Source organism: Homo sapiens, chromosome 1, assembly GCF_000001405.40.
Source record: "Homo sapiens chromosome 1, GRCh38.p14 Primary Assembly".
NCBI lineage: Eukaryota > Metazoa > Chordata > Mammalia > Primates > Hominidae > Homo > Homo sapiens.
Genome location: NC_000001.11, coordinates 225,807,196 through 225,823,301, shown reverse-complemented (window position 1 = coordinate 225,823,301; position 16,106 = coordinate 225,807,196). Strand labels below are relative to the sequence as shown.

Genomic DNA, 16,106 nt, shown 5'->3' with positions numbered 1-16,106 from the left:
CCCAGTACTTCGTGGGGCCAAGGTGGTGAATCACTTGTGGCCAGGAATTCAATATCAGCCTGGGCAACATAGCAAGACCCTCATCTTAAAAAAAAAAAAAAGTAATAAAGGGGCTGCTTGTTTGCTTTCCTCTTTGGGTCGTTCAAATCTCGGCTCCACTGTTTACTAGTTGAGGGGCTCTGGGCAAGTTATGAAACCTCTCTAAGCTCAGTAGCTGCATCTGTAAAATGGGGATAATAATGTTGAACTACTTATTATCAACATGTGTGTTCCTTCCTCTTCCCCTAAATCCCTAATTACCGTGGAGCATCTCTGCCTTGTAACAGACCCCAGAGGAGCCCCTGTTCTTGTTATTTAGCCCACACCCCAAGGTCCCGCTGCAGCCGTGTGCACATAAACAGGCTGGACGTGAGGGAGTGCATGGCGTCAGGCACCGTGGTCTGGCAGCATCTGCTCTCCTCTCCATGTGCCTTCACCAAGGACATGATTTGGGAGGATGACCAAAGCACAAGGCTATGTACATCTTCGGGTATCAGCATTTTGCAAGATATGTCCCTGGGGTAATCTCCACCCCTCTTTTCCATCTGTTCGGAGAAGGTGCATTCTCAGCATCAAGGGGCAGAATTCTGGTGGCTAAGCCTTCACCTTTCCAAGGAGAGCTATATTTATCTCTTCCCTGTGGTCAGCTCCTGCTGATGTAGCAAACATTAGAACTTCTTCAAAACATCAAAGTTTAGGAGACACCATGAAAAACTGAGAAGTAAAACAATACAAAATGAGAGTGCCTGCTTTATTTTGCTAGCACCTGAAATCAGAGCTTCATTGATCTGCCTCAAAAGTTCCAGAGATATATTTTATCTGATTCGAGTTTTTGTTTTGTAATGCACTTTTCCAGAATACTGACAAGTTACTGGGCTGAGAGTTTGTGCAGGAGGGGGTTGGAGGGGAAGCCTTTCAGAATGAAATCATTTTTTTCTCGAAGCCAAGGTACTCTTCCCAACAAAATGGTTCACTTGCCTAGTAAAGAAAATACAATTTTTGTTGCAAACCAGCATGATTTTTTTTAAAAACGTGACTGGAAGATAGTGGTCATTTAGCTACAAGATACTGAGCTCAGAGGGGAACTTGATGAACATTTGGCTCCTACTGTAAGAAATGGGATTGCATACATTTTAATTCCAATTCTACACTGAAGTCAAATTTTGGGCATGCATTTGTGAAAGGTGGAAGAAAATCTCACTAAGTTCAAGGTGAAGAAGTTAGATGAGCAATCAATGGTCTTTACCCTTCAAAGATGGACTAAATGTAAACTGTTAGAAAACAACAAATGATACAAGTAGAGTACTTGTTAGTTTACTTGTGTTTATCTTTCTGGATCTGAGGTATAAAGGACCATTTTAAATACAGGAGAGCAAATAAAGTAGGTGCTTTGTTCTTTGGCACAGTTAAAAGGTAAATCACCTGTAATCCCAGCACTTTGGGAGGCCAACGCAGGTAGATTACTTGAGCCCAGGAGTTTGAGACCAGCCTGGGCAACATGGCAAAACCCCATCTCCACAAATAATAAAAAAAAATTAGCCAGGCATGGTGGTGCATGCCTGAGGTCCCAGCTACTCGGGAGGCTGAAGTGGGAAGATTGCTTGAGCCCAGGTGGTTGAGGCTGCAGTGAGCTATGATCACTGCACTCCAGCCTGAGAGGAAGAACCTGTCTCAAAAAAAAAAAAAAAAAAAAAAAAGAACCAAAAAATGAAAAACAGGCTGGGTATGGTGGCTCACACCTGTAATCCCAGCACTTTGGGAGGCCAAGGCGAGCAGATCACTTTAGGTCAGGAGTTCGTGACCAGCCTGGCCAACATGGTGAAACCCCGTCTCTACTAAAAACACAAAAATTAGCTGGGTGTGGTAGTGTGCACTTGTAGTCCCAGCTACTCGGGAGGCTGAGGCAGAAGAATCGCTTGAACCTGGGTAGGCGGAGGTTGCAGTGAGCCGAGATTGCCCCACTAGACTCCAGCCTGGGCAACAGAGCAAGACTCCATCTCAAAAAAAAAAGAAAAGGTAGATCAGTTTAATAATTTAATGGAACTTAATATTTGTTACACTGGGGTAAAAATAAAAGTTTGCTTTTTAAAAATTCTCTTAAGTGATGTCACTAAGTCAAGTTTTAAAACATACAATTCATTTTAAGATTGATACTTAAAGTTCAAATGAACTCTTTTTCTGTTATTTGAATGTGGTTTTTAAAGTGCCAAGAAGTTATTTGTTTTTTAAAGTAAATAAGAGATTTGGATTGGCGCCTTGGAAAAGCAAGTATAAACATGTTTTTGGACCAGAGGTTGGTTCAGCAACACTGAGTGTAACTACTGGCTGGGTACTGTGCAGGCACCAGGACTAACACACAACCCTGTAACTGTAGGAGCTCACACTTTAGCAGGGCAGACAAACGGATAACAGATAAACACCCTTCCAGTTATAGACACATACTATATGCACACAGATGGAAGAGAAGTGTGCACAAGCAGAAGTGGTTAGGTTTTGCCACAAAGTTTTCACAGAGAAGGGGTCATTGAGCAGGGTTTTTAAGTATGAATAGGAGTTTACCAGGAGAAAAATAATGGTGGAATGGGAATAATCCAGGCAGAAAGAAGAGCATGTGGAATGGAATGGGATGGAAGTGAGGAAGCGCATGGCATGAATGAAAAAACACAAGAGTCTCATAGGCTATTTTCGCATAAGAGTTGATGATTCCACATTTCCGAGTGTAGTTGTCTCATTTATTACTATACTATCTCTTTTATAAATTGCTACTTCATCACGAGCTGACCCAGGAGTTTTAACTTAGAAATCGTGTTTACAATTCAGATTACCCTTCTGTAAATTACATGCTGAAAAGAGTGAGCTAAGAAAATATACTTGGGGACAGGCGTGGTGGCTCATGCTTGTAATCCCAGCACTTTGGAGGCCAAGGTGGGCAGATCACCTGAGGTCAGGAGTTCAAGACCAGCCTGGCCAACATGGTGAAACTCCGTCTCTACTAAAAATACAAAAATTAGCCGGGCATGCCTGTAATCCCAGCTACTCAGGAGGCTGAGGCAGGGAGAATTGCTTGAACCCAGGAGGCGGAGGTTGCAGTGAGCCAAGATCACACCACTGCACTCCAGCCTGGGGAACACAGCAAGACTCTGTCTCAAAAAAACAAAAAAAAGAAAGAAAGAAAATATACTTGGGAATGTGAGGATTTTGTGGTTGAGTGAAGAAAGGTGGCCCAGACAGGAGATTACTCAGAACTCAAAGGTTCACCGCAGCTGTCCTTGATGAGCTGGTGGCTGCGGCAAATACGCCATCAGATTGGGATGTTGAGGCAGACTGCTAGCAATGTTCTCTCCTTCTTCCTTAGCAAAGGATTTTTAATTTTAGTTGGAGAAGACCAGCCAAACACTTGACATTTCTTGGCCCCCTGGCAGCTAAGTATGACAGAGTGATTAAGTGCGGACAAAGAGTTATAAATGTATTAGAGCAGAGCCACCTGGGGCCCAGACAGTACCTTGTGTCAAAATTTTCTCCAGTGCATCTGAAATCGCACTGTGATCCTGTCCCCCTAAACTTTGTCTTCTCTTGGTGTTCCCTCCCTCAGTAACTGACATTACCCGCCCTGCTACTGCCAAGCCAAAAACCCAGGCAACGTCCTTGAAACCCCTCTCCTTCACTCCGCCACAGATATCAGTAAGTTCTGGCAGCTGAACTTCCAAAGTACATCTCAAATCCATCTCCAACCCAGCCCAGGTTCCTGTGGCTCTCCCCTGGACTACTACCCTGCCCGGTCCACTCACATCTGCTCTACCCCTTCCAACACAATGGCCACTCTGAAGCCACAGCAATCTTTTTAAAACATTTTTTTTTTTTTTAGATGGAGTCTCTCTCTGTCCCCAGGCTGGAGTGCAGTGGCACGATCTCGGCTCACTGCAACCTCCGCCCTGGTTCAAGCAAGTCTCCTGCCTCAGTCTCCTGAGTAGCGGGGACTACAGGCGCATGCCACCATGCCCAGATAATTTTTGTATTTTTTTTTTTTTTTTTTTTTGAGACGGAGTCTCGCTCTGTCGCCCAGGCTGGAGTGCAGTGGCGCAATCTCGGCTCACTGCAAGCTCCGCCTCCCGGGTTCACGCCATTCTCCTGCCTCAGCCTCCCAAGTAGCTGGGACTACAGGCGCCCGCCACTACGCCCGGCTAATTTTTTGTATTTTTAGCAGAGATGGGGTTTCACCATATTGGCCAGGATGGTCTCAATCTCCTGACCTCGTGATCCGCCCGCCTCCGCCTCCCAAAGTGCTGGGATTACAGGCGTGAGCCACCATACAAACCTTTTTTTTTTTTTTTTTTTTAATGGAGACAGGTTCTCACTATATTGCCCAGGCTGGTCTCAAACTCCTGGGCTCAAGTGATCCTCCTGCTTTAGCCTCCCAAATAGCTGGATTACAGGCATGAGCCAGGCCAGAGTGATCTTTTGGAAATGCAAATCTGATCATGTATATCCCATCCCCTGCGAAACCCTTAAAGAGCTTCCCATTGTCCTTGGGTTAGTGTGGCCTTCAAGGCCTGTGTGATCTCACCACTCCCCTAGCCCCTCAGAGTGCTACTGGTATCAATATTATGGAGAAACAGTTTACTTGAAAGCTAAGTGAGAGTTTTAGGGCTGGGATCTCACGCTGCCCCCCGATCTTTCAGTTTTGTGCTCACCATGCTGTCTTACTGTGGGGCTTTATGAAGGCGAATCCCTCTGTCGAAAAGCTATTCCCTCCCCTTCCCACCTCCCTAACTTCTATCCACCTTTCAGATTTCAGACTGACTGTCCCTCCTCTGGGTAGCCTCTCCTGACCTATCCCAGCAAGGCAGATCTCTCAGTCCTAGCCTTCGTCGAGCTCACATTTGTCAGGGTGATTATGTGACTGACAGCTGGACGGAAGCTCCTGTAGGCCACTGACCATGTCTGCTTTGGCTCCCATCTGGACTCTCAGTGCCTGGCATTCTAGTAGAAGCTTAATTATTTGTTGAATGAATGAATGAATTTAAAAATTCTTTGAATGAGAGCATAGAAAATTAATCAGAACTTTTGAACAAGAAGAGCTGAATTCCCCTTGAGGAATAATAAATATAACCTACTTAGCCTAGTTGGTAGAGACAGACCATAAGATGCAGGAAGAGGGCTGAGTAGGTGGCATGAGGCACTATAACGCCCCCTGACCCCAAAGAAGACTGGAGAACCAGTATCCTAGGCGCACTACAAATATCAGGGTTTTGGGTCTAAAAAGATGGGGTCAGACTCAGATCCGGCCACACAAAGTAAAGGGCAGGTCTACCGCCTGCCCAAAGACTCCCCTCCCCCAACCCAAGCAAGCAGTCAGAACCTCACCACAAGAAAGTGCTCCTAAAATCGCAGTAAAGTGCTAGCCGGCCATGACTCAGCACTTGCCATGTGCCCGGCCTTGGCTAAGTGCATTGCAGGGCAGAATGCCCAAGTATTTTTCCAGAACAAAGGCCATGAGGTGGACCCAGCCCTGCGACAGTTGGGCAGGCCTGGCTCTGACTGTGTTTCTCTAATAGTGACTGAGACTCACAGCAGCGTGAAAAGCCAGTGCTTCTCCTGGGGGAAGTCTGCCACTTTGGGGAGGAAAGTGTGGGGGCAGAGAGGGTAAGGGAAAAACTATGGCATGACCTGCCCCTCAGATGCCAGGCCAGAGAGGTAGGTGGGCTTGGAGGGTCTGCTGCTTCTGCAGGCCTGGTCCCAAGCCTGCCCCCATACTGCCCTCCCCAGCACCCCAGCCTCATCACTCCTCCCTGGGGAAGGCGAAGGGAACATCCAGTGGAAAGGGAAAAACGGATGGCTTCCCTCCCATTCCTGGCCTGCCTGCCAAGCGGACGCAGGATGGGAGCCTGGGAGCGTTCCTGCTGTGAACTCCCTGTCAGCAGCTACCCAAGCCTTGGGGCTCCCAGGGGCTTCCCAAAAGCCATCCTGAAGCTCCCAGCCCCACTCCCTTGGCTGGCCCAAGAGTGACGGAGGCAAACCCTGGGGGGAACTCCCAGCTTCTCCCTCAGCCATTGTCCCTGAACCCCAGGGACCCCTGGAGACTCAGGATGGAAGAGGCCGGATGCAGGCAAGCTGGGATTGTGCACCAGGCCAATGGCCGTGTTTATCTCTGTGCAAGCGCCGGAGCCAAGCCCTGGGAAAACAGCTTAGAGCCAGAAACCAAGGGAAAGGAAAAATGCAGTTTACAAGCAGGAAAAAAAAAGCTGGGGGAGAGTAAAAGAGCAGTAAAAAGTGTCAGGAGACAGCCTTCTTGGGGGCAGGAGTGCTGTTCTGGGGCATATCGCCCTCTGTGTGGGAGGGAATTCCCTCCACCTCCATGCTATCTACATGTCTGGAGAGATAGAAAGAAAACAATTTGGGATTGGCACTGGGATGCCAATGTGGTTGAGGGAGCCCCGAGCCAGCCCGCGGGCAGTTAGGCCCTCACTGCCTGCTTTGCTGCCTGGCCCTGCTGCCTGCCAGCCATGTAGCCTCAGGTCAGTGACTCCACTTCTCCAGGCCTCCGTGGCCCCATCTGCTGTGGAGGGTCTGGAGAGGGGAAGGGGAAGGCCACGCGGGTGGGCTGGCCAAATCCTGTGCACCTTCGGAGAGGGGACGGCTACTTCCACACTCTTTAAAGGCCACACAAACTTTAAGTTACAGAACTCAAGAAGACCGAGAGATGCCCCACATGCTGCAGGGCTCATGAGCTCTTGGCCTGGAGTTTCATTTGAGGTCCCATTCCATCTCACATTCTGCCAATTAAAATTAGAGCTGTTGAGTTGCTTCCATTGGTTCTAAATTACCAGAGAAAAAACTCAAGCAGAACCCAGTTCACCACCTATAAAGAAAAAGCATTGCCCTCTATGCAATTTCAGTCCTTGACATTCTCTTTTTTTAATCTTTTAAAATTAAAAAAAGTTAGAATAACTTGTTTTTTCTTTTAATTTTAAAGACAGAGCCTTGCTTTATTGCCCAGGCTGGAGTGCAATGGTGCAATCTCAGCTCACTGCAGCCTCGACCTCCCAGATTCAAGCAATTCTCATGCCTCAGCCTCCTGAGTAGCTGGGATTACAGGCACCTGCCACCACCATGCCCGGCTGATTTTTGTATTTTTAGTAGGAAAGGGGTTTCGCCATGTTGGCCAGGCTGGTCTCAAACTCCTGTTAAGCGATCCGCCTGCTTTGGCCTCCCAAAGTGCCGGGATTACAGGCATGAGCCACCATGCCGGGCCAGTCCTTGGCATTCTCTACTTGAGTGGAGAGAGGCTCCTATTCCAGGGGATAATAGGAGCAGATCATATAACACACTTACCGGAGTTCCTTCCCACCATTAACCACACTCTGCACCTCCCCCTTCTCCCCAAGGTGTCTTTTCCTCAACAATGTGCTCCACGATCTGGAAGCTTCCTTGCAGTGTGTAACAGGAGAGCACTGAAAGCCGGGCCTCATGGAGGAACCTGAGCCTGCCGTCTCATCTAGCAGAGCAGCAAGAGGACTAGGGGTGCTTCCTGTAGGGCAGCCCGAGGACCAGGGTCCGAGTTCTGGGTTGTTTGGTCGTGGTGAAGGTTAGTTTGTTTGTGGCAATGCTTAGGTTTCAAAAAGGAGTTTAAAAGTCCCAAAAGACTAAAAATATTTATGGGGTTCAATCAACAGTCCTGAAGGCAACTCTGAAATTAAGATGTTCCATCTCGACCGGGTGCCGTGGCTCACGCCTGTAATCCCAGTACTTTGGGAGGCTGAGGCAGGTGGATCGCTTGAGCCCAGGAGTTCAAGACCAGCCTGGGCAACACAGTGAAACCTTGTCTCTACAAAAAAAAAAAAAAAAAAAAAAGAAAATTAGCTGGGCATGGTGGTGCACGCCTGTAATCCCAGCTACTTGGGAGGCTGAGGATGGCTTGAGCCTGGTGGGGCGGAGTTTGCAGACAGCTGAGATGGCGCCACTGCACTCCAGCCTGGACAACAGAGCCAGACCCTGTCTCAAAAAAAAACAAGACAAAAACAACGATGTCCTGACAGGGTATCACTATGACCCGGATAGCAGCCTTCCTGGTAGGGTCTGGAAGTCCTGCCTCAGTGAGGCACACATGGAACCGGAAGAGGGCAGGGTTGCTTCTTCCACCTGGTGGCTGTGCCCCGACCTGGTGGCTACATTTGCTGGGCCCACTGCTGTTTCCCCACAGGAACAACTTGGCAGCAAACAGGTCCTGCCACAGCCAGAAAAACTGGAACGTGGGAAAGTATATTCATTTCCCCCAAAGAGCTGGTAAGAGTCAGTCTTCTCTTATCACTGCAGGATATACCCATACCTGGAAAGATGGCCTTGGGGCTTGGCACTGGGACCAATGTATTTCTCTTACTTTCCTAAAGTCTCTCCGAAATTAGCCAAGTCTCACCAGTTCTAGCAGAAAGAGGGCTACAATTTTGTAGGACCGGAAAGTCACCCCTCAATGCGGCCAGTGTCTCTCGTTCCACAGGGAAAGCAAATTCCCAGGCTGAGTTGCCAGAGGACAAGCTGAGGTGGTGGCCTTTGGTGAGGGCTGGAGGGCCAATGGCTGCCTGCTCCTGGCCTCTCACGGCATGGCTCTCTGACCCTTCAGGGATGCACTGAGACCTCCTGCTCCCGGTCACCAGCCTCCCACAGCCTTCAAGAGTCACAGTCCAGGCTGCTCCTGGACTAAAGCCAGCCAGGCGGGCCCGTGGCAGAGACACTCAGAACACGGCCTAGACTTCAGGATGTGTCTGGGCACCCCCAACCGCTGTGAGGAAGGCTAGAGAAGCCCTGAGCTGTGACACTGGGGTGGGAAGACTTAAACACACCATCTCCCATACTACAACCATCTTAAGAAGAGGTAGTTTTTCTTTTTAAAAATTATTTGAGACAGGGTCTCGCTATGTTGCCCAGGGTGGTCTTGAACTCTTGGGCTCAAGAGATCCTCCTGCCTCAGCTTCCTAAAGTGCTGGGATTACAGGTGTGCTCCACCACTCCCAGCTAATTTATTCTTTATAGAGACGAGGTCTCACTTTGTTGCCCAGGCTGGTCTCAGAACTCCTGGGCTCAAGTGATCCACCCACCTCAGCTTCCCAAAATGCTGGGATTACAGGTGTGCGCCATCTTGCCCAGCCACTTTTTCTGTTTTAAAAAGAATTAAAAATGAAGCTCAGATATGTGAAGTAGTTAATCCAGCTCTTAAGTACCAAAAAGACATTCAAATTCAGTCTCTATTCATCAAACTTCCCAAATGCTAAAGGCAGCAAAAACTCCTGCTCCCGACCTAAGAACAAGGCCTGTGATCCTAGTTTGTGGAGTAGCTGGAGAATTTTCCAGAAGTCTCTTTAACTCCTCAGAGAAAAGAACACTTTCCCCTCTTCTGCAAGCTTGCTCAGTTAGGCCTTGGAGAGCCTAATGGGTGTGGCTGTGCGGGGGCTGGACCATGCACTAAACCACACCCACCCACCAGGCAACAGACGGAAAGACACAGACAGCAGGGCGGGTGGGCATGAGGACTCCACACCAGGTCTCTGAACCCATCTCCTGGAATGCCGTAGGTCAGGCTGTGGCAGTCAAATGGCTGCTTTCTGCTGAGAAAGGATGAACTATGACTTCCCCTGGGAAAGTAAATAAACCTTGACAATAGGGGAGGCTGCTCAGTGTGAGCTTGGTTTGCACAATCGTGTGCTCAGTTATATAACGGAGGATTGGATTGCGCAGTTTTCTCCTTGTTGAGAGGAAGCTCTTCCTGGAGCGCCCACCAGCTCCTCCCTCCTCAGGAGAGGGGTGTGGCTGGATCCTTGGCAACGCTTTGGTCCCCTAACGGGGGAACTGCTGGGGTGCCTTCTCCCTCCTGCAATCCCCACCTTATCCCACAGCCCCTTGGAGACTCTGCTCCTAAGCCACTAGGTCTGGGTCAAGAACCACACACAGGCAGCCCAGGGGGCCAGCTGGGCTGGGCAGTGACCCTCCTGCCTTGACTCAGGGCTCTTGAACTCTTAAGATTTTGCCTCCCCTACCCTGTGGCCAGGGCCTTCACTCTAGTTGAAGTGTCTTCACTGGACCCAGCAGAGGCTACAGGGCCCACTGAGTCCCTTCAAAACTTACTGTTTCCCTCCTACACATTCCTTTCCTGAAATCCCTTCAGACTTTGCCACAGAATCATCACATAGCAGAGCTGCAAGAAGGCCTGCAGATCGCTGAGCCTAACCTCATTTTACAGATGAGGTCCAGAGAGGGGACACATTAATGGCAGAGCTGGGACATGAGCCAAGTCTTTTTTCCAGCCCAATCCTCTTCCCACATCACTGTATTACCTCTCAAAGGAATGAATTGCTGTTGATGGGATTTATGGCCCTAGCAGAGGTGGGTTTTCAGTATGAGATCCTAGGCACCCCTCGAATCACTATCTGTCTATCCCATCTGTGCCCACTCTGTCCCCGAGTGGGTGGGCTTCGAGCTACTTCTTCAGCAGGGGTGACCAGCTCATGCTTGGTCCTCCCTTATTTGGTACACCCAGCTGTGATCCATGTGGTTGAACCTCTTGGCGTAAGAACTGAGAAATGAATCTCGGTAGCCCCTGCTTTCACATGTCTGGGCCTGGGCCAAGATACCAGAACGGGAATCAAGGTGCCAGGTGAGCAATCACCAAGCCTGGGTATCAGGTCGACAGGAGGGGCACTGTGCATTGGTGAACCTGGGCTCCCTGAAAATGCCAGTTATGCTTAAGACATCAGGCAGGAACCAGGACACCCCAGGAGAGTCACTCCACCTCCTGCAGTGGTCAAGATGCCCTTTCTGCAAAGGTCCCTCTGCCCACAGAGCCCTCATTCAGGGCTTCCTGAAGATGTTCCCAGCCGCGTAAGTCCATGCCAGCTAGTGTGCTTCAGGCACAGCTGAGAGGCAGGAGGCATCACGCAGAGAGCATGTGGCTTGTCACAGATGGTGCTGAGGTTCACCCTGGCTGTCTTGCTGAGTAGTTATTTTCTGTGGAAGGTCCTTCCTTTCCTGGAATTGGGAAGAAGGCCGCAGAAAGCTCAGGAGTCCCCTCACTTACAGACTGAGCTAGTTCAGTTTATCCAGTAGGTCACTCATCAGCTTGACCCACACTCTGCAAACACAAACATCAGGCCATTCAAGCTGGGCACACTCCTGCCCCCAGCCTTTGCACCTGCACCCCAGGCAGCAGCTTGGCTGCTCCCTAACTCTTCAGGTCTATGCCAGTGCCACCCTTCAGTGAGGCCTTCCCTTTCCACCTGGCACTCCTCTCCCCTCTTTAAAGTTTTATTTATCTCCATATTACACATCATCTTCTAACATACTTTATAGTTTACAAATGTATTTTGTTTATTATCCCTCTGCCCCTAGAACTGCAAATCCCACGAGGGCATGCTCCCCGCTGTGCCTCAGTTCCACAGTGAGCAGTTCCTAAGTACCGCCCATGCCTCCTCAGCGCCTCCTAGGTGTGGAAATTTGGGAAAGAAAAACTGCTTGGAGAGCACTCGCAGAGTTTTTGCTGCTAAGTCAGACCAAGTGGGGCCAGTGAAAGGCCCCCTATTATCCCCCAAACCTAGCTCCCTGAAGGAGGCAACCGTTACACCAGAAAACAATGTTACTTTCTGGAGAAGTGTGGCTTCCTGAAAATGTTTATTTTAAATTATGCTGGATGCAGAGGAGGCTGCACAGTGGTACCGAAACAGCCACCAACCCCAAGGTCCTCAACAATTTTCCACCAACAGCTCATCAATCCCAGCAAAGGGCTGTCCTGGAAGCGGGCCTGCCAAGTGCATGGGTCCCCCTCACCTCCCACCTCCAGCCACAAGCTGAGCCCTCACAGAACTTCCAGGACAACGAGTGTTGCCTGTAGGGGCGGATCCAGGCTTTGCGGAACCTGAAGTTTAAACAATGGGAGGTGGGCTATGGAGGGGGCATTCAACTTTAAGAAAAAAAAGTCAAAATTAGGATTACAACATTGCTAGGCACCCCACCTCCAAGATCTCGGGAGCCGCCAGGGCAAGGAAGGAGCCAGAAGCTCAGAGAAAACCGACATCTGCCAGGGAGGGAGGCAGGCGGCCACTCGGTCTCCGCGGCGCTTTTGCTCAGGTTGACCACATTCCCTGGCTTCAACTACAAGGTGAACTCCCGGGCAAGTTTCCTGTTCTACAAGAGGAGAGGGCTGGCCTTCAATCCCGAGACCAGAGCGAGGGGGTGCCGGGCGGCGGCTGCGGCAGCAGATGGAGATGAAAGCGCATTTCAACTAAAAGGTGTGATCAGTGTCAGGCCTCTGAGCCGAAGCTAAGCCATCATATCCCCTGTGGCCTGCACCTACACATCCAGATGGCCGGTTCCTGCCTTAACTGATGTCATTCCACCACAAAAGTGAAAATGACCTGTTCCTGCCTTAACTGATGACATTGTCTTGTGAAATTCCTTCTCCTGGCTCATCCTGGCTCAAAAGCTCCCCTACTGAGCACCTTGTGACCCCCCCCACTCTGCCCGCCAGAGAACCCCCCTTTGACTGTAATTTTCCTTTACCTACCCAAATCCTATAAAACGGCCCCACCCCTATCTCCCTTGGCTGACTCTTTTCGGACTCAGCCCGCCTGCACCCAGGTGAAATAAACAGCCATGTTGCTCACACAAAGCCTGTTTGGTGGTCTCTTCACACGGACGCGCATGAAAATCAGTGTTCCGACTTGGGTGACAAATTAAGTGCATTTCACCGCCGAGCGAGCCACGGCCCTGGAAGCAGAGCTCGCCCAGGCCAGGGGACGCGGTGCGCTCTCGGGGTCGCGAGCCTCCCTCCCTGCGGCGTCCGCCCACAGTCTGGGACGCGGAATTCCCTGCGAGAAGTCCGCGGTCGCCTGCAGGCTCCTTCCCCCAGTAGGCGGCACGCGCAGTCTCCTGGCCGGGGCAGGAGCTGGGGGCGGACCAACTACAAGTCCCTCTGCACCCCTGCGGGCCGACCGCAGCCCCGACCCCTCGGCGCCCCGGCCCGCCGCCCACCCCGGCGGCCGAGCCCGCGCGGAGCCCGAACCGCGTCTGCGTCCGGGGAGTGCGGGCCCGGCCGGCCCCGGGCGCTTACGGTCTCGGCTCGCAGGCTCCGGCGGCGGCAGGCGCGCGATCTCTCCGGCTCCCTGGCTCTCCTCGGCTAGTTTTCAGCAGCCCCGGCGCAGTCTCCGCCCAAGCCCGGCCTCCGAGCGGGGCGTTCCCCGGCCTGGAGGACCCGGGAAAGTCTCTAGGCCTGCCTAAGGCTCCACCTCTGCCAGGGATAAAACGGGCTACTTAAAGGGCGGTCCGCGGCCCCGCGGCCAGAAATGGAGAGAAGCGTTTGGCAGCTCCTACAGCAGTTTGATCCCGTAACTTCGTCAGTTGAATCTAAAAACAAAAATCCAAACTTGCATGATGTATGTCCTTTTTTTTTTTGGAGACAGAGTCTCACTCTATCACCCAGGCTGGAGTGCAGTGGTGCGATCTCGGCTCACTGCAGCCTCAAGCGATCCTCCCACTTCGGCCTCCAGAATAGCTGGGACTACAGACTGCGCCACCACACCTGGCTAATTTTTTAAGTTTTGTAGATACGGGGGTCTCACTTTGTTGCCTAGGCTGATCTTGAACTCCTGGGCTCAAGCGATGCACCTACCTCCGCCTCCCAAAGTGGTGAGATTATGGGCGTGAGCCACTGCACCTGGCGGTGTATGTCTTTTTAATTTCATCTTTCTAGCAATTCATTCTTAGTATATTTAACAAACATATTGGTCCGTGACATGCTTGGAAATCTAAAAACAAATTAGTGTCTTTATACAGAGAATGTGAGAAGCAATGGTCTGAAGCACTCTTGGGGGTCTTCATGGTGAGGACCAGTATAGGATGCTGAGTTCAATGCCAGGGGAGCAACCTCTTAGTGAATCCCCTCCCGCTTTGGAGAGAGCTCAGGGCCCAGGCGGGTGGTTGCTGGGGCTCTTTTAGCTTCCGTGAGAGCGTTGATCCCCAGCCCCTCATCGTTAGAAAGCCTGTCCCATCGCCTCTGCCATCACCCCTCCTTAGCTTCTCTCTTCACCTGCTCAGAGGTGCAGTTCTTTCAACCACCAGCATCCTCACGATCTCGGTGGACAGACTACAGCTAGGAGGCCACATGCAGGGCCCGTGGCTGGAGTTCTAAGCTTCTGACTGTCACCTTGCACACTTCAGGATAAGGTTCACCACCACCCACCTTCCCTTGGCCTCCAACCTTTCTGCTCACCCTGGCCCAAGAATTCTGGCCGGCAGACGCACTCACCTCACTCCCACCTCCAAACTTTTGCTCTTGCAGTACTGCCGGACAGGGTGCCCTCCTCCATCCACATGTAGAGTCCTCTTGTCCTTTAATTCTACACCCTCCTATAAAAGCTTTCTCTTGCAACTGCAGTCTCTGACATCTCTGTATTCCTTTCAGAACCTGCAGTCTGGGAGAGTTCTTTCCCCTCCCCTCCAAATAGTTCACACAGAAGCTCTGCCTCTGGCCACTTCACCAGGGGACCCAAATTCGTTACTCTTAAAACTGCAGTGATGGTGAAACAGGTAGGAGTCAGGACTTAACGCCAGAGGTGGGGCTTGGACACCAGATTGAGGACCAAATTGAGGACTAGCTAAAACAGGGACTGGGTGGAAGATGAGCATAAGATATGCCCATCATATCAGTGTGCCATGTCAGTTTACCAGGGCACGCCCCTGGAGTTATCACCCCCCTTCCATGGCAATGACCCGAGGACCCAAAAGTTACTACCCTTTTCCTAGAAATGTCTGCATAAACTGCCCCTTAATCTGCATGTAACTAAAAGTGGGTATCAACATGACTGCAGAATCGCCCAGAGCTGCTGCTCTCAGCACACTGCCTGTGGGGCAGCCCTGCACTGCAGGAGCAGGCCCCCTCTGCTGCTGCTGGACACCGCCACCTCCATAAAAGTTGCTGTCTCACACCACGGGCTCTCTCTTGAATTCTTTCCTGGACAAAGCTAAAAACCCTGCTGGGCTGAGACCCAATCTGGGGTCTCAGCTGCCCTGCATCAAAACTCTTCTAAAATTAGATATTGGTGATGGTTACATCACTACAAGTCTGTAAATATACCAAAACCCGTGAAATTTTACACTCTTAAAGGGTGAGTTTTATGGGTATGTGAATTATGTCTCAATACAGTTGTTATTTTATTTATTTATTTGTTTGTTTTTGAGATACAGTCTCACTCTGTTGCCCAGGTTGGAGCGCAATGGCACAATCTCGGCTCACTGCAACCTCCGCCTCCCAGGTTCAAGTGATCCTCGTGCCTCAGCCTCCCAAGCCGCTGGAATTACAGGCACTTGCCACCACACCCAGCTAATTTTTGTATTTTTAGTAGAGATGGGGTTTCACCATGTTGGCCAGGTGGGTCTCAAACTCCTGACCTCAAGTGATTTGCCTGCCCTGGCCTCCCAAAGTACTGGGATTACAGGCGTGAGCCACCAGGTGTGGCCAAAGCTGTTGTTTTTCAAAAACTGCATTAAAATGGCAACCTCTTGTATCCTAATACCCTCCTACTTGGTTAATCATCCATCCAGCGTTGGGCTGCGAAATCTAAAATAGTGCAAGATATTTCTAAGTACAGTCTACATATGGGCAGTGTAGAAACAAATGCATCAGAGTCCAACTCAGCAGGGCAAAATTTAGACAGATTTTCACTGCTTTTGGCTAAAAGCCATTGAAAGGTTTACGGGGCAAAAGAATGGGTACAGTGTGCTCTTTAGAATAAATTATATTGTGTAAAAAATCAGAGCAAGGCTGTTGTTCTGCATAAACATCTGGAGAGTTTCCAGGTACATCAGGTAGAATGAAATAATGTGTGGGAGGCAATCTTGGATAAAAATTGTAGATCAATTCCTGATTCAACAAAAAGGAAACAACATTGTTTCTGCCAAAAATGCACAATATGGATAGAATCATGAGGAAACATTGCACAAACCCGACATTAACATTCTACAGGCTGGGTGCGGTGGCTCAGGCCTGTAATCCCAGCACTTTGGGAGGCCGAGGCAGGTGGATCACC

General features: G+C 50.3%; 1 protein-coding gene across 9 annotated transcripts in view, besides 3 other annotated features; it reads right to left on the bottom strand.

Annotated features, from left to right (window-relative positions):
- Positions 1 to 13,178, bottom strand: part of EPHX1 (epoxide hydrolase 1) — a 35,440-nt gene extending 22,262 nt beyond the window's left edge. For 6 of the 9 annotated variants that reach the window (NR_165625.1, NR_165624.1, NM_001136018.4 and 3 more), the window contains exon 1: positions 13,133 to 13,178. The gene's annotated coding sequence lies outside the window, so the exon portion shown is untranslated. Of the gene's footprint in view, positions 1 to 12,686 lie in introns of all 9 variants that reach the window. The other 3 variants (NR_165626.1, NM_001291163.2, NM_001378426.1) reach the window with 2 other exon arrangements.
- Positions 4,671 to 5,497: an enhancer, noted in NCBI's record as "H3K27ac-H3K4me1 hESC enhancer chr1:226005507-226006333 (GRCh37/hg19 assembly coordinates)". NCBI's record gives its function as "activates a minimal SCP1, AML or CMV promoter by ChIP-STARR-seq in naive H9 embryonic stem cells {active_cell/tissue: H9 hESC(naive)}" and the evidence as "EXISTENCE:reporter gene assay evidence [ECO:0000049][PMID:30033119]".
- Positions 5,498 to 6,325: an enhancer, noted in NCBI's record as "H3K27ac-H3K4me1 hESC enhancer chr1:226004679-226005506 (GRCh37/hg19 assembly coordinates)". NCBI's record gives its function as "activates a minimal SCP1, AML or CMV promoter by ChIP-STARR-seq in naive H9 embryonic stem cells {active_cell/tissue: H9 hESC(naive)}" and the evidence as "EXISTENCE:reporter gene assay evidence [ECO:0000049][PMID:30033119]".
- Positions 13,001 to 13,220: a silencer, noted in NCBI's record as "silent region_1859". NCBI's record gives its function as "represses an Ori minimal core promoter by ATAC-STARR-seq in GM12878 lymphoblastoid cells {active_cell/tissue: GM12878}" and the evidence as "EXISTENCE:reporter gene assay evidence [ECO:0000049][PMID:35858748]".